Source organism: Homo sapiens, chromosome 17, assembly GCF_000001405.40.
Source record: "Homo sapiens chromosome 17, GRCh38.p14 Primary Assembly".
In the NCBI taxonomy this organism is placed as follows: Eukaryota; Metazoa; Chordata; class Mammalia; order Primates; family Hominidae; genus Homo; species Homo sapiens.
In genome coordinates this window covers 83,217,377-83,241,355 of record NC_000017.11, presented here as the reverse complement: position 1 = coordinate 83,241,355, position 23,979 = coordinate 83,217,377, and the positions used below count along the sequence as shown (strand labels likewise).

Here is a 23,979-nt window from a genome sequence, read left to right as displayed (position 1 = left end):
TGTTTGACCAGCTATGTGTGTCTCTCAATCCACTCAAGTAGATGTCTAAAATTAACCACAGAATATTTATGCCTGATTCATGGCTGAAATCGTGTTTGAACAGCTATGTGTGTCTCTCAATCCACTCAAGTAGATGTCTAAAATTAACCATCAGAATATTTATGCCTGATTCATGGCTGAAATCGTGTTTGACCAGCTATGTGTGTCTCTCAATCCGATCAAGTAGATGTCTAAAATTAACCGTCAGAATATTTATGCCTGATTCATGGCTGAAATTGTGTTTGACCAGCTATGTGTGTCTCTTAATCCACTCAAGTAGATGTCTAAAATTAACCATCAGAATATTTATGCCTGATTCATGGCTGAAATCGTGTTTGACCAGCTATGTGTGTCTCTCAATCCGATCAAGTAGATGTCTGAAATTAACCATCAGAATATTTATGCCTGATTCATGGCTGAAATTTCAGGATGAAAGCTATGAAATCTCTATTTGTGTTTGTGTATCTATTAATGTATGTTATGTATATGTGATATTTTCTTAACTCCAGAGAGCATTGCAAAATTCATTTATGAAATCCTCTAAAAGTGCTCTATTCTAACTTGGCTTGGAAAAAAATAAGCATTTATAAATAAATATTCACCAAACTCCTAGAAATATAGGAACTGATCAAATGTTTCTTAAGTTAACATGATTTGGATAAAACTTAGTTAAATAAGATTAATATAGTATTTTTGGTGTAATAAAACAACTGTATCTTCAAAATTATTATTGAATATAAAACAAGCATAAATTCCTATTCTGCTTGAGTTCTAGTCAAATAAGCTAATATTATACTTACTAGAAACATAAAATCTTAAAGCTTATAGATTTGATTCTAATTAAGTTGTCATTCTTATGAAAAACATTATTTTTTTATGCTGAAAAGATACACATATATTTAGAGTTAGCCAGCTGGACTCAGTTTAGGTGATCCCAATTTTGTTACAACATCGAAAGCATCATAATCAGGAGCAAGTCGAACATATGCCTTCTTCTCTTTATCAGGACAAATCAGGGTGGTGACCTTGGCCACATCACTGTCATAGACCTTCTTCACAGCCTGTCTGATCTGGTGCTTGTTGGCTTTAACATCCACAGTGAACACAAGCGTGTTGTTTTCTTCTATCTTCTTCACGGCCGACTCAGTGGCCAGCGGAAACTTGATGATAGCATAGTGGCCAAGCTTGTTTCTCGTGGGGGTACTCTTCCGAGGATATCTGGGCTGCCTCCGGAGTCGCAGTGTCTTGGGCCGCCTGAAGGTGAGTGACATGCGGATCTTCTTTTTTGCGTGTGGCTGCGGACACCTTTCAACACTGCCTTCTTGGCCTTTAAAGCCTTCGCTTTGGCTTCGGCTTTAGGAGGAGCAGGAGCTTCCTTCGCTTTTGGTGCCATCTTGTGAAAAGCGAAAAACATTATTTCAAAAATAATTTGTTTACAGTAAATCTGCCTAAGAATAGTTTCCAAAGTACTTTTGGTAATTTTTAACCTTAAAGTTAAGCTAAGTAAAAGATTTGCATTAAATATCTAGATCATTTATAAATAAGATACAATACTAAAACATTAATTACTGAACATAAATAATTCAAGTTTATGTACTTTTGGCTTCCTATTTTTACAGAGAGACTAAAGATATTTTGGCCCGTTAATAAACATGTTTTTTTCTGCCACACTGAGGAATTGTATTATGAGGAAACACATCCCTCTAGATGTTGGGAGATGGTATATTCATACATTTTCTAACCTACTATAGAATGCTAATATATGACAGTTTATAACTGTCTACTTCCTAGTTTTCTCTGGAAAATAAAAGATTACTAAGTATTAAAATTATAATCAATATATGTAAATAAAACTACTAGAAATAATAGAATAACTAGAAACTATGCAAAGCATGCAAGAAAAGTAGGGCATGTTTCGCAAGTAAAGTAGGTTGCATTTTTTATAAGGAAAACCATACAGAAGATACAAATAAAAAGAGATACCTAACCTTCCCTGTGTTATATTTGTATGGGTAAAATGTTATGTTTTCAGAAATTATATAAAATTCCTGGAAGTTTGTCAATGTCCTCCTTATCCATGCTATGTGCCACTATAGAGTAATGAGTCATAATTCCAATTATTACTTTAAATGTTGTGCCAGGCACAGTGGCTCATGCCTATAATCCCAGCACTTTAGGAGGCTGAGGCGGGTGGATCACAAGGTCAGGAGATCCAGACCATCCTGGCTAACCCGGTGAATCTCCATCTCTATTAAAAATATAAAAAATTAGCCCGGCGTGATGGCAGGCACCTGTAGTCCCAGCTACTCAGGAGGCTGAGGCAGGAGAATGGCGTGAACCCAAGAGACAGAGCTTGCAGTGAGCCCAGATCGCACCGCTGCACTCCAGCCTGGGCGACAGAGCAAGACTCTGTCTCTAAATAAAGAAATAAATAAATGTTGTCTGCCACAGAAAAAATCGAATATCCTTGTCAGTTGTGGTATAATGAACTCTCATCAGATCTTTCATCACAGCCATTTCATACTTTTTGTCATTTAGATATTATTTCCCCCTGATGCTTTCCTGAAAGCTCCTGCAATCAACTACAGGTCAGAATGTTCGTCTCCAAGACAGGACTCCCTCTGAGACTCACAGAAAAGACTATGACAGGTACTCTGGTTATAGGCTTCTGATGATATTGCTTAAATAACTTTAAGACCATACACTTGACTCAGTTAAGGTCTCCAGAAGTCCGGTTGGGAAACTGATGGGTTCATGACACTGCTAACTCAAGATCCACAAGACTGGAATTGATTACATGGCACTGAATGAACTGATGAAAATTGATTATAATTGTATAGCTTTTTGGAGCATTGCTGGTTAATATTCTAGTTTCTGGATTTAAGAAATCTCTTTCTCTTACTCTAACTGTAACTTACAACAATTTAGTAGATTATACTTTTGTAAACAGAAATGAAGCGTTTATCTTTTTTTCTTGCCTGATTTTTCCAGAATTTTGAAATCCTTACTGAATACTCTTATTTCCACGATGATATAGTTGTTAGCAAAAGTCCAATAAGAATCTATTCACCTTATAACAGGACATAATTGGAAATTTTGGTTATATTATCAAGGTTTTTACTGGAACATCATAATTAGGAAGTGTACCTAAGATCAGTTATGACCAGCAATTTTAAGGAAGTAAGGTTCACTTTTATGGAGACAATGCTTACAAAGCACTGTGGAAAACTTTGAGGAAAGTTCTTCCTCAAAGATTATAAAGTCACAACTACCCACTATTTTTATATGTGTGTGTGTGTGTGTGTGTGTGTGTGTGTGTGTGTGTGTTCCAAATCACTTGTCCTAGCTTGCTCCAGCATGCCTGGACAGAACTAGACAAGCCCCAGCCCATACTGCATGCCATTCCTTATTTGGAGATGCTTCCTTAACTATCCCTGGGCAACTTCCTTTTCTTTCTTTCTTCTATTCCCCTTACCTAATTAAGAAAGTTTTAAACAAACAGCCAATCGGGTAAAGTGTAAAATGGGAGGTCCTATTCCAGCCAATGGAAACTGGACACAGCAGTAGGGTAGACACGTCAGGTTATAAGTAACTCTGTCTCCTTTGTTTGGTGTGCTCTTGTAGCTGGACAGCTATTGAGTAGCACCCTTTGTGCAGAAAAATAAAGCTCGCCTTGCTAAGAGATCATTTGTTCCCATGTTAGTTCTTTTTTTGGGGGGGGGAACATAAAAAACTTCATTCCCAACAGCACTCTGAGAAAACCCAGCCTGATACCTAGATTACAGGGTTCACAGCCTTATAGGTTAGTAAGGAAGGTCATTTCCTGGTAGGCCCAGGAATTTAGGGATATTTTGGGGCCTCAAGAAGAGAGGAATTCACACAAAGCTATAAGGACTGCAGCTGAAATTTGATAGCATGTTCTTGGCTTGGCTTTTAGCCTGAATAAGGCCTTTAAAAGTCAAATCTGAGATTCTGTATGAAAACTTCCAGCAAAGAAACCTGAAAGCACCTACGTGGTCATCTCCTGTTCTTGCTGCACTTACGTAAATAATCAAGCAAAATCTAACAAAACTAGACTTATTTTTAAAACAAGAATAGTCTTACTTTGATTATGATCAAAAATGATGGTTACTACAGAGAGAAATTTTATCTTTCAAAGGAAAAGTATAACACAGCCGGGCATGGTGGCACATGCCTATAATTACAGCCCTTTGGAAGGCCAGGAGTTCAACATCAGCCTGGGCGACATGGTGAAACCCCGTCTCTACCAAAAATACAAAAATTAGATGGGCATGACGGCATGTGCCTGTGTCCCAGGTAATCAGGAGGCTGAGGAGGGAGGATCGTTTGCACCCAGGAGGTAGAGGTTGCAGTGAGCTGAGATTGCACCTTTGCACTCCAGCCTGGGTGACAGAGCCAGACCCTGTCTCAAAAAAAAATTTTTTAAAGGAAAACTATAGCCATTGTGAGTTATCAGATTCTAGTCTTGTTTCTTGTTTCTGGGCTATTTTTACCTCTTTGTAAACTGGATCCTGCCATCTGATGAATTTTGTCCCACAATGATACTTGGGGAACAAGAAGCCAAGTATTGTCTCTCCTACTAATGTATCTAGTGTCAGTTAATTTGAAGGTCTCCAACCCTGGAACAAAGTTAGAAGAGGAAGGTTCTGCTCCCCAAAATGCATAACCAAATTGTGCTACATTCATGTAATGGAATACTATTTAGCCATAGAAAGGAACAAGATATCAACACACACAAAGACATGAGTGAATCTTGCATGCACATTGCTAAGTGGAAGAAGACAGTCTGAGGAGGATACACACAGTGTGACCTCATTTAATGAGACACTGGAGAAGGCAAACTACACAGATGGGAAGCCATTGGCTCCATGGGGTGGGGGTTTGAGGCATTCCATATGATACTTTAATAGTGGGATATCTGCCACAATGCATTTGTCGAAATACGCAGAATTTTACAGCCAAATGGTTAAAGCAAACTCTATTCAAATTAAATCCAATTACTCAGGATGTGGAGTATCCCAGGACAGAATACATCATGTGAAAAAGAATTTATGCTACAAATTACTATGGTTTGGATGTGGTTTGTCCCCACAAAAACTCATGTTGAAATTTGACTCCCACTGCGTCAGTGTGGGGCGGTGGGGCCTAGTGGATGGTGTTTGGGTCGTGGGGACGGATCCCTCATGAATAGATTAATGTCCTCCATGGGGGTGAGTGAGTTCTGTTCTCACAGGAATAGATAATTCCTGCAGGAGTAGGTAATTAAAAAGAGTCTGGCTTCCTTGGCTTCCCTCTTGCTTTCACTTCTGCTGTGTGATCTCTGGTGCACCCCTTGCTCCCCTTCCACTTTCCACCATGAGGTGAAAAAGACTGAGGCCCCGCCAGATGCAACTGCCCAATCTCACACATTCCAGCCACCAGTATTGTCAAACAAATGAAACTTTTTTACTTATAAATTACGCAGCCTCAGGTATTCTGTTACAGAAGCACAAAATGGACTGAGACACAAATCTAGGTAAAAACTTTGAAAATGAAAAGAATCTGTAGGCTGAAGGCACATGAACTATACTTCATTATTGGATTCCATTTTATAAAGTTCTTTCCAACAGAAGCAATTGTGAACAATTGTAAAACCACAGTGTCTGTATCTGGAATAAAACAATGACTTACATAAGTCGCAGATGGTGGGAACCAGGTTTCTTACTGTTGAAGTGGGAGGTTACAAATTAGCAAGGCGAGAAGGCTAGAATGATTCATGTGATAGTAGATCAGAGGTGGAGACATCAATGTAAACTTATGTTTAGTTTAATATAGACACACACAGTTCTACATAGAAAACTTTATAATTAGGTGTGTATAGGTAGGTTAGACACACACATATACTTCCTAGCATTGCCAATGAGGGAGAAGATACAATGTGCTCATTCAGCAGCCAGATGTAAGTTTTCCTACCATTCTGAAAGGAATCAGGCTCTTTGAAGAAATGTCTGATACTAGAACTGGGACAGTAAATATAGGAGCCAGGATAATCTGGAAGTATCAGAAAGTAAGTACAAAAAAATTAAAACATATCAAAGAAAAATAAGAGCCAATAAAAACAGCTACTGATGGCCAACACAGGAATGAATTGTGCAACATAATACTGTAGTGTTGAATAATAACTAAAGCTTAAGGTAATTATCTAGGTGTCTGTATTTGTATACCTAGGTGAATAAGCAAATGGAGTTGCATAGAAATCTCCTTTGCAAAAGAATTCCAAATAATTGATGTAGACACTCAGCCGTCAAGAAGGTGGAGCCAACTCCTGACGGAGTGAGGCTCTGCATAGTGACTTGCTCCAAAAGAACACATGCAGTGCGGACAAGGAGGAGAAATAACCTCACAGTGGAGAAACCTGACAAACATTAGCTCTGCCAAATGATCCAAGTGAACATCAAAGGTGACAGTTCACCTTGAGAACATGAAGTGACAATGGGGGACATTCTACAACATTCCTGACCAGTCCTCCTCAGTGCTATGAAGGTCATCATGAGATGGAAAGCCTAACACACTGTCACAGCCAGGAAGAGCCTATGTGATGACTACATGTCGTGTGGGATCCTGGATGGGATCCTGGGTCAGAGTAAGATAGAACTAAGGGAATCCAAATGAAATATGAACTTTAGTTAATAACAGTCTATCAGTATTGGTTCATTAACTGCGGCAAATTATGTAAGATATTAATAAGCCATGTGAGACACACTGATAGAAGATGTTAATAAGAGAGGAAACTAGGTTGCGGCTACATGGGAAATCTCTGCTTTTTTTTTTTTTGACGATTTCTGTGTAAGTAAAAAAAAGACGTAAAATAAAACTTTATTTAAAACACTTTTTTTAACACTTCCTTGTTTAATTATTTATACCATGAATTACTAGTAATTGACACTGTTAACTAGTCCTGTTTTTTAAAATAAGAGCAATTATGACACAAAAAATTAAACAGTGCAGACTGATACATAAATCAAATGTTCTTTACATGTTTTCTGTTACTGTAGTAACACACATGTGTAAACTTAATTATCACATGTTTTTCTTGTGCTGTGGTTGTGTCCTGGGTTCATTCTCTAAAATGCTGTTCATCTTAGACCAGGAAAAATATTAACCATACAGACTCTGTTTCAAGTCATAGCTGAATATTTTCAAAAGAGTGACTTTGTAAAAACATGTTCCAATGGCAAATTGATTCATTGTGATGGGATCAATTATTCCAAAGACTTCTTGTCTTTATTTTGTTGCCATGCCTACCTTTTAGCCATGATACAACAGAATCAAATATTGGCCACTGGGAAAAAATATTCAAAGAAAGAAAGAATGTGAACAGAACTTGTGACCACGATGATTCAATGTTTTACCACAATGCTTTCTAAAACAAGAGTCTAAAAGGATATTCAAAGTCAATTTCCTCAGTGAGGCTTTGCAGAAAATGAGGAAACTAGAGAAACAAAAATGGCAGGACATTCTACGGTTGATTTTAAATGTTGCTATGTTTTATGGGAAAAAATACTTTACCTTTTAAAGAATCACAAAGAATTATTGGAAACCCAAACTCTGGAATGTTTGCAAATTTAGTTGAGCTTCTATGTAATTATGTCTATATAGGTAGCCATGAAGTTGATGATTTCTTAAAAATCTGTGCCTTATTTGTGTAATAAAAGACACAATGAATAATTAATACTCATAGGAACACTTACGAAGGGAAAATAAATCTTGGGGACCCAAAATCACTAAGCTAAAGGGAAAAGTCAAGCTGGGAACTGCCTAGGGCAAACCCGCCTCCCATTCTATCCAAAGACACCCGTCTGATCACCGAGATAAATGCATACCTGATTGCCTCACGTGGAGAGGGTAATCAGCAATGCAAAAGAATGAAACCATTTGTCTCTTACCTACCTGTGACCTGGAAGCCCCCTGTCTGGCCTTCTCACCTTTCTGGACTGAACCAATGTACATCTTACACATATTGATTGATCTCTCGTGTCTCCCTAAAGTGTATAAAACCAAGCTGTGCCCCGACCACCTTGGGCCCATGTTGTCAGGATCTCCTGAGGAGGCATCACAGGTGCACATCCTCAAGATTGGCAAAATAAACTTTCTAAAAAATCTGAGAGCTGTCTCAGATTTTCAGGGTTCACACATGTAATGTAGGATGTCAATGTTTATAAAAGGGATGTTATTCTATCTACTATTAGAAATATGCTGTCAATTAACCTTAAACTTTCTCAACAAAATAAAAAATGTTGATGAGGTACAAATAATATATCTAAGCTTAAATAGTGTTGCAGGTTTTAATATGCCTACTTTTCAATTTTTCAATACTATCTTTACTAATTTAACACTGTAAGAAAAATGAGTAATTAAAACATGAATAAAAGTGTTTACAGGGGATGCACATGTTTCCTCCAGCCTCTGCCTATACCCAACTTTCATCCCAACTGTCCTGATGGTGGCTCTAAGCATTTCTCCTTTCTCTATACCAAGATCTCTCCCCAGAAACAAACCCAAATCTTACTATATGTTATGGCACGCTATGATGATGAGCAGCGATGAGCAGCCGAAGCCTCAAGGAAGGGATGCTTTTGTAAAACAAGACTTGTGGAATATAACATGTGAAAGTAAAGCCCACGGCAGAGCTCCCTCCTCAGCACACGGGGAGCAGACAGGAAGTTTTTCCTCACCTTCCTCAATGGCCTGCAGCCACGTCTCCCCAGGTCAGTCTTAAGGACAATGAAACTCTGGTCTTCACTGTGGACACGCCACACTACCAGGGGCTCCAAAGCCATGGTGACCCACCCTCGGGTGGGTCCTGAGGAGAACAAAGCTCTGGTTCTAATTCTAACCCTAACCTTGTCCCAAGACTTTGACACTGAACCTAAATCCTGATCCCTATCCTGGTCCCTAATTCTGACCCTGACTTTGATCTCGACCCTGACCATGACCCCACCTCTAACCATACTTCTGGCCCTGACTCTGACCCAGATCCTAATCCTATCCCTAACCCTATTATTATCTTTACAATCTATGTCTAATCTTACCCTCTAGTGCTAAATAGCTGTACCCAAAAGCACTTTTAAATTATTTAACTTCTTTTCCTTGAATTCTCTAAGGACATCCTAAAGGAGATGTCAATATGTATTTTGCATTCCCTCTGAGTGGTATGGCTTCAGATAAGAAGTTCTAATACTTTGCAAGACATAAAAAGTTTGGAGGGTGACAGCACTGGGTTGTTAGGGATGCATGTTGGCATTCGTGGTAGTCATAGGTGCTGTTCTCCAGATATTTTCAGTTCATATTTTATGAATGCATTCTGACTGTTCCATCCCGCCTACTTACATTTTCACATGGCCACATGACTTTTTTTTTGCCAATGGAGGTGAGAAGAAATAACATGTGACTTTTTCAGGAGAAATCTCCAAGAAACAGAGTTCTATTCCGCATACTTTTTTCTCTTTTCTATAGCAATGGGGATCTTACTGATTGTCCCTCCTTCTGTCTGGATTCCTGTGTTAGGATGACACGGCACAGAGCTACCTCTCACCTGACCCATGATGAAATGTAAATAAATGAGGAAGAAGATTTTTGAGCCACTGAAATTTGGAGGTTGTTTGTCACCACAGTTTAACCTAGCCCCCATTTACTGATGCACGGCTGAAGAATGAGTCCGAACTGGATCTAGACAAGACATGTGAAGAGCACGCCAGGCTGAGTAAAATTCAAGTGTTGTCTCAAAGATAACACTGAGCACGATATGTTATTGGGGTGGGTGTGGGATAAATAAGGTATATCAGGTGAGAATAACAAGAAACTCAACTTTAAAAGACGGTGCCGATTTGGAAGACACCAAATTGGAAGACAGCAGGAGCTGCCCCATAATACCAGTAAAGTGAGAAGCAGAGATAAACTAGTCCTAGACAGCTGACTCATGTTGGGGGCAGCCCACTCACAGTGGCCCTGACCCAACTCTGACTAGAGGCCACTTGCTCTCAACACCAGGGTGCTCAATGGCCCGTCCTGGTACTCTGCTCTACACTGGTTGTAGGAAGGAATCTACAGGTTGAAATAAGGAGATCATTTCCCTGAGGTTCCGAAGCTCATATTTACTCACCATTTGTTGTTTACTGCTAATGTTGAGCACTGTCAGTAAAATACATAAAACCCTTTGCCAATCCAGGAAGTGAAAATGACACTTTACTGTTTTAATTTGCATTTCTCTGCTTACAAGTGGATTACACACATTTTCATGTGCTGTTGGCTACTTATTCATTCAGAAAACATACTAAGTGCTGGCTCTTTTTCATGTCCTTTATCAAGTTTGGATCATGTCATTTGCTATTTTCTTTCTGATGTAAACTCTCAAAGTCTGAAGGGTATTGTCTTTTCCTGACACATATGTTGTAAATAATTTTCTGGCTTACATTTTGACTTTTAATTTCATTCACGATGTTTTTAATGAATAATTTTAATTTTTATGAATGCAAGTTAAAATAATTCTTTCATTGTGGTTTCTGACACGTCATGCCAATAAGGGTCTTCTCCTCCAAGAGCACAGAAATATTTGCCAATACTGTCCTTAAAATCGGTCACAGTTTCATTTTTTATATATGCATTTTACTTCAATTGGGGCTTCATTTTACTGAATGCCCTATTTGAAGCAAGTTTCTCAGTTAATTCTTTTCTCAAAGGGCTAAGTATGGTAGATTGCAAACATAAGTGGCCACATAATGCTCTCACCTCCTTTGCCTCCTCTCCCAGGAGGAGATAGCGTCCATCTTTCCACTCCTTAATCTGGGCTTGGCCGTGTGACTTGCACTGGCCAATGGGATATTAACAAGTCTGATGTGCACAGAGGCTGTAGAATGTGCACGGGGGCTTGGTCTCTCTTGCTGCCCTGGAGACCAGCTGCCCCACGAAGGAACCAGAGCCAACCTGCTGCTTCCTGGAGGAAGACAGTCCCTCTGTCCCTCTGTCTCTGCCAACCAGTTAACCTGCTGCTTCCTGGAGGGAGACAGTCCCTCAGTCCCTCTGTCTCTGCCAACCAGTTAACCTGCTGCTTCCTGGAGGAAGACAGTCACTCTGTCTCTGCCAACCCAGTTGACCGCAGACATGCAGGTCTGCTCAGGTAAGACCAGCACAGTCCCTGCCCTGTGAGCCAAACCAAATGGTCCAGCCACAGAATCGTGAGCAAATAAGTGATGCTTAAGTCACTAAGATTTGGGCAAAAGCTGAGCATTTATCCCAATCCCAATACTGTTTGTCCTTCTGTTTATCTGTCTGTCCTTCCCTGCTCATTTAAAATGCCCCCACTGCATCTAGTACATTTTTATAGGATCAGGGATCTGCTCTTGGATTAATGTTGTGTTCCCACCTCGAGGCAGCTTTGTAAGCTTCTGAGCACTTCCCAATTCCGGGTGACTTCAGGCGCTGGGAGGCCTGTGCATCAGCTGCTGCTGTCTGTAGCTGACTTCCTTCACCCCTCTGCTGTCCTCAGCTCCTTCACCCCTGGGCCTCAGGAAATCAATGTCATGCTGACATCACTCTAGATCTAAAAGTTGGGTTCTTGGACCAGGTGTGGTGGCTCACACCTGTAATCCCAGCACTTTGGGAGGCCGAGGCGGGTGGATCACAAGGTCAGGAGATCAAGACGATTCTGGCTAACACGGTGAAACCCCGTCTCTACTAAAAATACAAAAAAATTAGCCGGGTGTGGTGGCAGGTGCCTGTAGCCCCAGCTACTTGGGAGGCTGAGGCAGGAGAATGGCTTGAACCTGGGAGGTGGAGCTTGCAGTGAGCCAAGATCACGCCACTGCACTCCAGAATGGGAGAGAGAGCGAGACTTTCTCAAAAAAAAAAAAAAAAACTTAGGTTCTTGGATGTTCGGGAAAGGGGGTTATTATCTAGGATCCTTGAAGCACCCCCAAGGGCATCTTCTCAAAGTTGGATGTGTGCATTTTCCTGAGAGGAAAGCTTTCCCACATTATACAGCTTCTGAAAGGGTTGCTTGACCCACAGATGTGAAGCTGAGGCTGAAGGAGACTGATGTGGTTTCTCCTCAGTTTCTCTGTGCGGCACCAGGTGGCAGCAGAGGTCAGCAAGGCAAACCCGAGCCCAGGGATGCGGGGTGGGGGCAGCTACGTCCTCTCTTGAGCTACAGCAGATTCACTCTGTTCTGTTTCATTGTTGCTTAGTTTGCGTTTTGTTTCTCCAACTTTGTACCTCATCAGGAAAAGCTTTGGATCACAATTCCCAGTGCTGAAGAAAAGGCCAAACTCTGGAAAAAATTTTGAATATTTTGAGCCAAATGTGAGGACTACAACCTGTGAGAACGGAAAATAAATCCTGGGACCCCAGACTCACTAAGCCAAAGGGAAAAGCCAAGCTGGGAACTGGCTTATGCAAACCTGCTTCCCATCTGGTTCCTAAATAAGATAGCTATTACACAAAGATAAAAAAGCTACATCCCTGCCTCTACCTCCATCACATGTAAAATGTGTATTCAGTGAACGCTGACCAAAGACAGAAGAATGCAACCATTTGCCTCTGATTTACCCACACCCATTTTTTCCACTTCTTCCCCTTTCCCCAACACCCACACTTCTCCCCTTTACTTACTGAGGTCCCCAGACAACCTTTGGGAAAAGCACGGACCACAGTTTTTCCTGTGGTTCTCTGTTCTTTTCTCAGGTGTGTCCTTAACCTTGCAAACAGATTTCTTGAAATGATTGACACTCACCTTGGTTGTGTTCTTTGATCAGCGCCTGTGACGCAGCTTCAGGAGGTCCTGAGAACGTGTGCACAGTTTAGTCGGCAGAAACTTAGGGAAACGTAAGACCACCATCAGTACGTAGGAGTTGTGCATTGGTTTGGTCTGGAAGGAGGAAAATTCAAAGTAATGGGGTTTACAGGTCATAGATAGATTCAAAGATTTTCTGATTCTCAATTGGTTGAAAGAATTATTATCTACAGACCTGCTATCAATAGAAAGGAGAGTCTGGGTTAAGATAAGAGACTGTGCAGACCAAGGTTCTTATTATGTAGATGAAGTTTCATAGGTGGCCACCCTTAGAGACAATAGATGGCAAATGTTTCCTGTTCAGACCCATAGAAGGTGCTAGGCTCTCAGCCAATGTCTTCAGGATCAGAGAAAGACCTGGAAAGGGAAGGGATTCTCTACAGAATGTAAATGTCCCCCACAAGAGACAGCTTGGCAGGGCCATTTCAAAGTATGTCAAAGAAATATATTTTGAGGTAAAATATTGATTTCATGGCCTCTGTCTGTCATGTGATGCTGCACTGGAGTCAGGTTGGAATTTGGTATCTTATTGCTAGAGAGCCTTGTCAGTCTTCAGATCTCTGTTTTAATGTTGGTTCTGGTCAGTTCTGCCCAAATTCCAAAGGGAGGAGGGTACAATGAGGCCTGTCCAGCCCCCACTCCTCCTCATCACGGCCTGAACTAGTTCTTCAGGTTTCTCTGGAATCCCTTTGGCCCAGAGGCGGGGTCCACGCGATCGGCTGTGGGGCTTAGAATTTTATTCTTGGTTTACGGCAGCTTTAGGGAGGTGCTCTGAGACCCGAAACTAGACTCGACTTTAACAGACACAGACGACCCTGAAGGTGAGACTGTCTGCTGGTGGGATGCTGGGCGAGTTGCTTAATGTCCCTGAGCTGCTATTTGCTAACTGTGAAGTGGGATCCTGGTCCCTGACAGGCAAGATTTTGGCACACGGAGAGCTGGTGCACGTGGGCGGCTGTCCCCTAAACTCGCGTCCCTTCTTTTTAATCATACCCCACTGGCTGCACCTACACCTCCTCCCAGGCACACACCGAAGAGGATGAGCTCTGGTCCTCGAACCTCTTGTCTGCTCCCACCAGGCAGATTCTCTGTTCCCCGTGCCCAGGCAGCAGTGGTGGACACCAGCATCCCGGAATGGTGTAGAAAGGCTGACCCCATCATAGCCAAAGCCTGGGGTTTCCTGTTTCCCTCCTCCTCCTCCCCACTCCTCCCCCGACCCCTCCCTCCTCCACTTACCCCCATCCCCTGCATAATGGGTTTCTAGCTGCCTCCTCTGCCTGCCCAAACAGGACAGGCAGGAAAAACTGGCTTGGTTCTGAGTAGGCAGTTTCAGGGCCTTAAGGAGAAATTCATCGGCCATTAATCAGGACCTTCCCTCCGGGGAGTTGGCAGCTTCAGGTGTGGTCTCTGGAAACAAGCCCCACAAATTATTATCAGAGAACCTCTGTCTTGGGTGGCAGAGGCAGCCTGGTTGGGGTGGGCACCCCGGCTACGGAAAGGAGCAGCTCCCTCCACTTTCCTTCCGGCTGCATGTGGAGAGGCTCGAGCGGGGCACAGTCCATGACGAGATATTAATCTTGTGTTTGGATTTTTCCTTTTTTTTAATAAAGAAGAAAGATAAGGTATTGTGCTCATCTTGTAAAAATCAAGCACACAGTACATCAGTCTATTCTACAAAGAAACACAACCTAAGCAAAGATTTGTTATAGGCAGTGGCCAGTTACAGAAACAGTAGGACTTGCATTAGGGGTTTTGTATGGGAAAGAAAGGGAGTCAGACACAGACGTGATGGTGGAGACAGGGGCAGGAAGACAGAGCAGCTGACACTTCCAGAAATAGCTGGCCAGAGGCCAGCAGGAGGGAAACACCAACCCGAGGAAAGAGAGACGGGGATTGGGAGAGAAATTCAGAAGAGACTGAGGCACGCACACAGACAGACGCACCCACCCACACACAGATACGGATTCAAAGAGACACGCACACTCTGAGTTTCTGAGAGTAAGCCACTGTCAGTTCCTGGGGTGAGCCACCAGCCACATGGACACAATTTCCTCTTTTTGGTAAGTCTTTGACCTGTCTGAACCCCCTACTTAATTACCTATAAAATGAGTCATTGCAAGGATGACAAAGACGCTCTCCTTGACCAAACTCCACTCAGGCTCCTTTGAGCCTTCTCCTTGATGAAGCCTCATCCTTGGCCTGCTGAGCTCAGTGCTAGCAAGGAATGCTGCTAAGGTCCTTAGTGAGAATCTTCCCCACCCTTGCTAACTAACCAAGCTCCTTTCAACAACTTTTCATCACCTCCCTCACCCTGCTCATTGGCTATCCCCACTTGTCTCTGTTGTATTGAGAGTTGAATTCAGTCTCTCTCTCTCCTCTTGCAATAGTTTTTTTTTTTTTTAAGAGACAGGGCCTTGCTCTGTCAACCAGGCTGGAGTGCAGTAGCACAATCACAGCTCAGAGCAGCCTCAAACTCCTAGGCTCAAAGGATCCTCCCACCTCAGCCTCCTGCGTAGTTGGGACTACAGGTGTATGCCACTGCACCAAATAATTTTTTAAAACATTGTAGAGATGGGGTCCTGCTTTGTTGCCCAGGCTGGTTTTGAAGTCCTGGCTTCAAGTGATCCTCCCACCTGGGCCTCCAAAGGTACTGGGATTACAGGCATGAGCCAACCTATCAGCCTGGTAATCAGCCTGGTAATCACGTAAAACAGACACATAGACCAGTGGAACAGAATAGAGAACCCAGATATAAATCCACACATTTACAGCCAGCTCATCTTCAGCAAAGGCACCAACAACATACGAGCGAAAGGACGGTCTCTTCCATAAGTGGTGCAGGGGAAACTAGATAAAGATATGCAGAAGAATGAAACTAGACCCGTCTCTCTTACCATACACAGAAATCAAATCAGAATGGATTAAAGGTAAAACTGAGACCTGAAAGTATAAAACTACTGGAAGAAAACATTAGGGAAGTGCTCCAGGACATTGTTCTCAGCAAAGACTTTTTCAGTAGGGCCCCAAAAGCACAGGCAACCAAAGCAAAAACAGACAAGTGAAATCACACCAAGCTAAGAACCCTCTGCAGACCAAAGGAAAAAGTCAACAAACTGAAGAGACAACCCACAGAATGGGAGAAAATACTTGCAAGCTACCCACCTGACAAGGGATTCATAACCAGGAGCTCAAACAATAGCAAACAATTAATCGAATTTTAAAATGGGCAAGAGACCTGAGTAGACATTTCTCAAAAGAAGATGTACAAATGGCCAGCAGGTACATGAAAAAATGCTCAACATCACTAATCATCAGAGAAACGCAAATAAAAAACTGCAATGAGGTCTTCTCTCACCTCAGTTAAAATGGCTTTCGTCAAAAACGCAGGGAATAAGGGATGCTGGCGAGGATGTGGAGAAAGGGGGACCCTCACACACTGTTGTGGGAACGTTGATTAGTACAACCACTATGGAAAACAGATGGAGGCTCCTCAAAAAACCAAAAGGGGCCGGGCATGGTGGCTCACGCCTGTGGTCCCAGCACTTTGGGAGGCCAAAGCAGGGGGATCACAAGGTCAGGAGTTTGAGACCAGCCTGGCCAACATGATGAAACCCCATCTCTACTAAAAATATAAAAAATTAGCCAGGCGTGGTGGTGCGACCCTGTAATCCCAGCTACTTGGGAGACTGAGGCAGGAGAATCACTGGAACACAGGAGGTGGAGATTGCGGTGAGCGGAGAGCGCACCATTGCACTCCAGCCTGGGTGACAGAGCAAGACTCCTCCTTAAAAAATAAATAAATAAATAAAAGTTGGCCGGGCGCGGTGTCTCACACCTGTAATCCCAGCACTTTGGGAGGTGGAGGCGGGCGGATCACAAGGTCAGGAGATCGAGACCATCCTGGCCAACATGGTGAAATCCCGTCTCTACTAAAATACAAAAAATTAGCTGGGCGTGGTGGTGCGCACCTATAAATCCCAGCTACTCGGGAGGCTGAGGCAAGGGAATCGCTTAAACACAGGAACCCGGGAGGCAGAGGTTGCAGTGAGCCAAGATCACACCACTGCACACCAGCCTAGTGACAGAGCAAGACTCCATCTCAAAAAACAAACAAACAAAAAAAAAAACACCTAAAAGTAAAACTGCTGTATGATCCAGTAATTTCACTAACTGGGCCTATAGTCAAAAGAAACAAAATCAATATATCGTAAAGACATCTGCACTCTCATGTTTACTGCGGGACTACTCACAATCGCCAAAATACGGAATCAGCCTCTGAGTTCATCAGCGGATGATGGATAAACAGAACGTGGTGTGTATACACAGTGGAATATTATTCAGCCATACAGAGGAACGACAGCCTGTTATTTGTACAAGATGGAACTAGGGATCATTATGTTAAGTGAAATAAGCCAAGCACAGAAAGACAAACATTGAATGTTCTCTCCCACCTACTAAAAAAGTAGCTCTCGTGAAGACAGAGGGTAGACGCGTGGTTACCAGAGGTGGGGAAATGTAGCGGGGAGACGGGGAGAAAGAGAAGTTGATTGAAGGGTACAAATACGTGGTTTGATAGAAGGAATAAGACCTAGGGTTACATAGATCATAGTTGGCAATTGCCTACTGTATATTTCAAAATGGCTAGAAGAGAAGAATCGGAACGGTTCTAGCATAAAGCAAAAACAAATATTTAAGGCGATAGATATTCCAAGTAGGCTGATTTGATTTTCACAATTATATGAATGCATTAAACTATCACATGTACCCTGAAACTATGTACATCTATTATGCATCAGTGAAAAAGAAAAAAGAAACAAGAACTTAGATTTTAAACTCAGCACTCTCCTAGTGGGCTCCTTAAAAATATTTTTGTTTGGGAGGACAAAGTAGGAGGATTCCTTGAGCCCGGGAGCTTGAGGCTGCAGTGAGATAGTGCCACTGCACTCCAGCCTGAGCGACAGAGAGATACACTGGCTCTAAATATAAATAATATAAATATATATTTATGGAATAAATAAATGAATAAAATATCTTTGCATGCTGGTGAGCCCAGGGTACAGTCTGCCCTTGGCAGCTCGGTGACTCAGCCAAGGCGGCTGAACAATCCTCGCCCACTAGACAGTGGAGGTCGCCCTCCAGAGGACCTTATCAGATGTACGTGCAAAGCAGTTTTCAAGACAGTTTTCTATTCAGAGTGTGGTTTAGCCGTTCAGGGAGAGAGATCACAAAGGAAAACCACCTTTAGGAAAGCAGGTGAGAAAGGTGTAAGTTCCCAGGCTTGGGGGTCCTGGCCCAGCCTAGCTGTGGGCAACCCCAGGAAGGCTGAGCCCCGCAGGCTGTATGGACAAAGCATCTCGCTTTCCACACTGGCCACAGGTCTATCCCTGGCAGTAAACAGGTCACAGGTGGGCAGCAGGTCTAACACCTGTAGCGAAAGAACGCAGGAGAGGAACTGAGGCTCTGCTACCAGCAGATGCTCCAAGCACATCCCACGGGGAGGACCATGCACAACTCAGCTGGCCACAACCAGGAAAAGGGTGTCCAGGGCCTCAGAGCTGCTTCAGTGGGGCCATTTCCAGGCTCCCAAGCAGTAATGTGGGTGCCCTCTCAAGAACAGAAGCGGAACAGCCTAACGCTAATGTTTGGGAAGAAGAGAACAGTGATCCCCCTGGTTACCTCCCATCTCTCTCTGCAGTTCTCATGCATCTGTGCACACACGCTCACACACACATATGTCCATCAATCCACTCACAATGTTTGACTTAAAGCAGAAACCATATAAAGGGCAGGATAAGGAGAAAAGACGAAAGGAACTGAAAAGATGCAAACAGCCACTAACACGCCAATTTGCACCTTGCACAGGGCCTGGGAAGTAATGACACGGCTTCTCGTTATGCATCAATGATCTCATGTTTTCATTTTAACAAACACCCTAATACAAAAATAGGCTTTATAGGGAGGAGAGAAAATATGTTTTATAGGGAGGAGAGAAAAGCCATTCTGAAGAGCTGGATAGGTTGCCTTTGGCCCACATGGAGTCAGCCCCCTGCCCACGCCACCAGGCTCACGTTCAGGGCCCTGGCTGGAGAAACCTGAGCTGCAGGACCCGCTGCCCACCAATGCAGAAGAGAAGGCAGTATGCTTTTTGCATTGGGTGGAACAAAAACAGAAGAAATGGGAATTTGGTGAGAAATAAGGGAGGTGGTCCTCAGAATCTGCAGAGCAGTGGCTTCCAAACTCTGTGATGCAACCCCAGCCAGAAAAACACTTTACATCATGGCTGAGGGCACATACGTGCACGCACATATGCACAATACAGGAAATCTGGAATACAGAAAGCCCTGGAATTCCTAAATAACATCCTGCCCACATGGGAATTCTGCCCTAGCTGATGGCTTCTCCGAGGCCTAGGCCCAAATCCACACCTGCTGTTTAGCCCAGAGCCAAGCCTAGGAGTGTAGGGTCCCCTATGCATGGGTGTCCAACCCCATCCCTGTCCGGAATAGCACGGGTGCTTCTCGGTGCCACAAATGTTGGTGGCGGCTGGGGAGGAGTGGTTCCTCCAAGGCTCCATGCCTGCCTCCACCACTGAGGCCAGCACGGTGGGACTGGGCTAGGGAGACAGGCAGGCTGGCCTACCCACTGAAGGAGCCAGTCTGCTTCCACCTAGTCAGCAGCTCCAGGGAGCGCATCTCCCTCCAGGAAGGGCAGGAGGCCAAGAGGAGCTGGAAAGGTGGGCATTTGATATCATGAGGTATAAAGAGAGCTCCTAGGGGTCCCAGACATCAACTAATAAAAGCACCTCAGAAGTTCATAGATGGGGAAATAGCTGTGTGAATATACCGTGTTATCCAAGTCATGCGGAGAGGAAGGGCTCGAACCCATGGCTACTACTCCCCACCCCCGTCCTCCTCCTCCTCTTTCCATTAAGTTTTTGTGATTATGAAAGTAGCTTACATTTGGTGTAGAAAATATGGAACATATGGAAAAATTTAAAAAGACTCAGGCAAAGGGTCATGTGTCACTTCTTATGACCAGAGGCCGTTGCTCTTTATTAACAGATGGAAATGTTTTCTTCCAAATTGTGCTGCACGTTTTTGGCGAGAGCATGGGGCTGTGCGGCGTCCCCTCCCTGGCGCCCACCTGTGCCCTGCACACTGGCCTGCACTGTGGTGATCTCGCTTGGCCCCCACCTGATTCCCGACATACAGCAGAGGAAGCTTAGGCTCAGGTGGAACAGCCTCAACTGATTCTGTCCCTGAACTTCCGTACACAGCCCTGGAGTCGTCTTAGAGCCATGATTTATTTAACTGTTCTTTCATTTTACAGAACATAAAATGTATTGTTTCCAACTTTTTTCCTATGGTAAATAATACTAAAGTAAATATCTCTGTGCATGAATCTTTTTGTATATGTTGGAATATCCTTAAGATAAGGCCCCAGAACTAAAAGTACCCTGTCAAAAGGTGAGCATTTCCGGTTCCCCTGCTGTGCTTTGCTGCGTTGTTCTCTCCTGCTGCAACGTTCTCACTCCACAATCCTGGGGCAGGGAGGGGAGGCCCAGCTGAGTTTGGATCATAATCCTGAAAGACACAATCCCAAGCACCATAATGTGGAATGTTGAAATCCCTAAAGATCAAAATCCCTCAAGTCTAAAATCCCTGATATTTCAGATGACCACAGCTACAGGGCTAGGTGCACACAATTAGTAACCGTAGCGATATACGTGTACACGTTTCTCTTTTGACTTATTTCTTTATGGTCTGTCTTCTTATAACTGCTACACCCATGCCGCCGTCGTTAGTTACCTCAGTGTTTATGCAAAAATACCTGTTATCATTGCCTATTTTATTGTGTAAAGTGGCCTATGAAATGTTCTGTTGTGTTTTTATGTTTCTCAAATACATACCTTTTAAAAATGTAAATAAATAACATCGACATTATTTTTTCCAGATTTATACTTTTGGGATTTTGATCTTTGGGATTTCAGGATGAGGTATTCGGAGCTGTGTCTTTGGGGATGATGACCGGCTCCTGTGCCGTCCCACCCATCTTTGCGGCATGGGACCTTGGCATCCCCACCTCGGCCCTGGCTCTACCTGACCTCACAATGGACCAGGCCAACTCAGTCAATGTGGAGTCAGCATCAGGTAGACCTGGGGCTGAAACTCAACACTGGTGTTCACCTTGACCTAGCTTCTCTGAGCCTCAAGTTCCTCATCTGGACACCAGTGGGGTTAGGGGCTGAGGCACATCAGCACTAAGCAGGAGAGCTCATCGTTGCCATGCATCAGCTGTGGCTCTAGAGCCGAGACGCTCCCAGCCGTGTAGGCTTCCCAGCAGTGCAGGCCCCTCTCTAGAGCTGAGATGCTCCCGGCAGTGCAGGCCCCTCTCTAGAGCCGAGACGCTCCCAGCCGTGTAGGCCCCTCTAGAGCCAAGACGCTGCAGGGTTAATCAGGGCTGCCCAACAGTCCATCCCCTCTTCTCTCTCTGAAATCAAGAAACATTCCGAATTCCAAAATGCAACTGGTCCCAAGTGTTTCAGTTAAGGGACTGTGGCCCTGTGTAATGCCAGGCAGTGACAAGGACTGTGACTGGGAGCCATCGTAAGTCGATGCTGAATGCCAAAGGGAGGAAAGGAGGCAGCGGTCCTTAAAGGGCCCACTGAGCTCAGATCCCACGCCTGAGCCTCCGCCTCTCCGTGCAGTCCCGGAGATGGCACACAGCCTTCTGCACGAACCGCAATGAGCTGGGCTCCCTCATCACCGCTAGGAGCACTCTGAGAAAGCAGGGCCATTCCACGGGGTTCTGCAGGAGAACGGCGAAGGGTGCTGTTCAACCTGCTCAGTCAGTTGCTAGGTGAGGAGAATTTAGTATTCATAAGTGAAAATTTCTAAGTTACTGGAATTAATTATGGGGTTTGATTCTACATCATCCAGAAAAGCCTGGATGCCACACAGACTCAATGCTGAAAGCTCCCAGTGCACCTGCACAAACACACCCACACATGCACCCATATCATATACACACGTGCAAACATGTTCACATTCACACTCACTCCTACATACTCGGATCATATACACATTTGTGCACACGTGTTCATATTCACACTCCTACACACCCAGATCATACACACAAACACACACTTGTGCATACACATTCATGCTCACTCCCACACACCCAGATCATATACACACTCGTGCACACATGCTCACATTCACAATCACTCATACCCAGATCATACACACACTTATGCACACATTCACACTCACTCATACATACACAGATCATATACATACTTGCGCATACGTGTTCGTATTCACACTCCACACCCAGATCATACACACATACACACACTTGTGCATACACATTCATGCTCACTCCTACACACCCAGATCATATATACACTCGTGCACACATGTTCACATTCATGCTCACTCATACACACCGATTGTACACTCGTGCACACATTCACACTCATACACACCCAAATCATATATTCATGCACACATGTTCACATTCATGCTCACTCATACACACCCAGATCATATATACACTCGTGCACACATTCACACTCATACACACCCAAATCATACTCACATTCATGCACACATGTTCACTCATGCTCACTCATACACACCCAGATCATATATACACTCGTGCACACATGTTCACATTCACTCATACACAGCCCAAAATATACACATTAATGCACACAATACATATTCATACTTGCACACACCCAAATCATATACCCACTCACACACACATGTTCACATTCACACTCATACACACTCAGATCATAAATACATATGTACACATTCACATTCATACCCCCAAATCATACGCACACTAGTGTATACATGTACACACTCACACACACAAATCATACACACTCATACACACAGTCATACACACTCACACATACCCCCAAATCATATACACACTCATGCACACCGTCACACATATAATCCAAACACACAAAAATATATGCATGCGCTCATTCATACACAATCTCACACATACATATACAGCCATGTGGGATTTTTCTGCCATTTTCAGAAATGTAAATTTTGTAGTTCCTGCTTTTTAAAGACTATAAATTATTTTTAATTTACCTTCATTCTCAATTTTGTTTGTTATAAGTAGCTTGATTGTCATACAGCATCCAACGACGCATATTTCCTTTATTTTTTTTGAGATGGAGTCTTGCTCTGTCACCCAGGCTGGAGTGCAGGGGCGCGATCTCGGCTCACTGCAACCTCTGCCTCCCGGGTTCAAGTGATTCTCCTGCCTCAGCCTCCCGAGTAGCTGGGATTACAGATGCCCATCACCACGCCCAGCTAATTTTTGTATTCTTAGTAGAGACGGGGTTTCACCATGTTGGCTAGGCTGGTCTTGAACTCCTGACCTCATGATCCACCTGCCTCGGCCTCCCAAAGTGCTGGGATTACAGGTGCGAGCCACCGTGCTCTGCATATTTTCATGTTAAAAATGTTTTATTTAAAAAAAAAAAAAAGATGTCCAGAAGAGTTGCAAAGACAGTACTGCAACTTCCCACAGACCCGTTCACCAGCTTCCTCTCACTTGAGCATCTTACACAGCAATGAGGCACGTGTGGAAACTGCGACACTCACATGGGTGCCATCTCAGCAGCTCACGGTGTGGAAACTGCGACACTCACATGGGTGCCATCTCAGCAGCTCACGGTGTGGAAACTGCGACACTCACATGGGTGCCATCTCAGCAGCTCACGGTGTAGAAACTGCGACACTCACATGGGTGCCATCTCAGCAGCTCACGGTGTAGAAACTGCGACACTCACATGGGTGCCATCTCAGCAGCTCACGGTGTAGAAACTGCGACACTCACATGGGTGCCATCTCAGCAGCTCACGGTGTAGAAACTGCGACACTCACATGGGTGCCATCTCAGCAGCTCACGGTGTAGAAACTGCGACACTCACATGGGTGCCATCTCAGCAGCTCACGGTGTGGAAACTGCGACACTCACACGGGTGCCATCTCAGCAGCTCACGGTGTGGAAACTGCGACACTCACACGGGTGCCATCTCAGCAGCTCACGGTGTGGAA

General features: G+C 43.8%; 1 long non-coding RNA gene and 1 pseudogene across 2 annotated transcripts; one reads left to right on the top strand and one right to left on the bottom strand.

Annotated features, from left to right (window-relative positions):
• Positions 1–551: 551 nt before the first annotated feature.
• On the bottom strand, positions 552–14,459 carry RPL23AP87 (ribosomal protein L23a pseudogene 87; annotated as a pseudogene). The gene is made up of 4 exons (NR_029406.1): positions 14,123–14,459; positions 12,827–12,961; positions 11,462–12,364; positions 552–1,432 (listed from the first exon to the last, which is right to left on the bottom strand). The product of NR_029406.1 is annotated as a ribosomal protein L23a pseudogene 87 (transcript).
• On the top strand, positions 13,505–22,956 carry LOC100505909 (histidine-rich glycoprotein). The gene is made up of 3 exons (XR_933966.3): positions 13,505–13,707; positions 19,948–22,844; positions 22,949–22,956. It is a non-coding gene; the product is annotated as a histidine-rich glycoprotein (long non-coding RNA).
• The last annotated feature ends 1,023 nt before the right edge of the window (positions 22,957–23,979 follow it).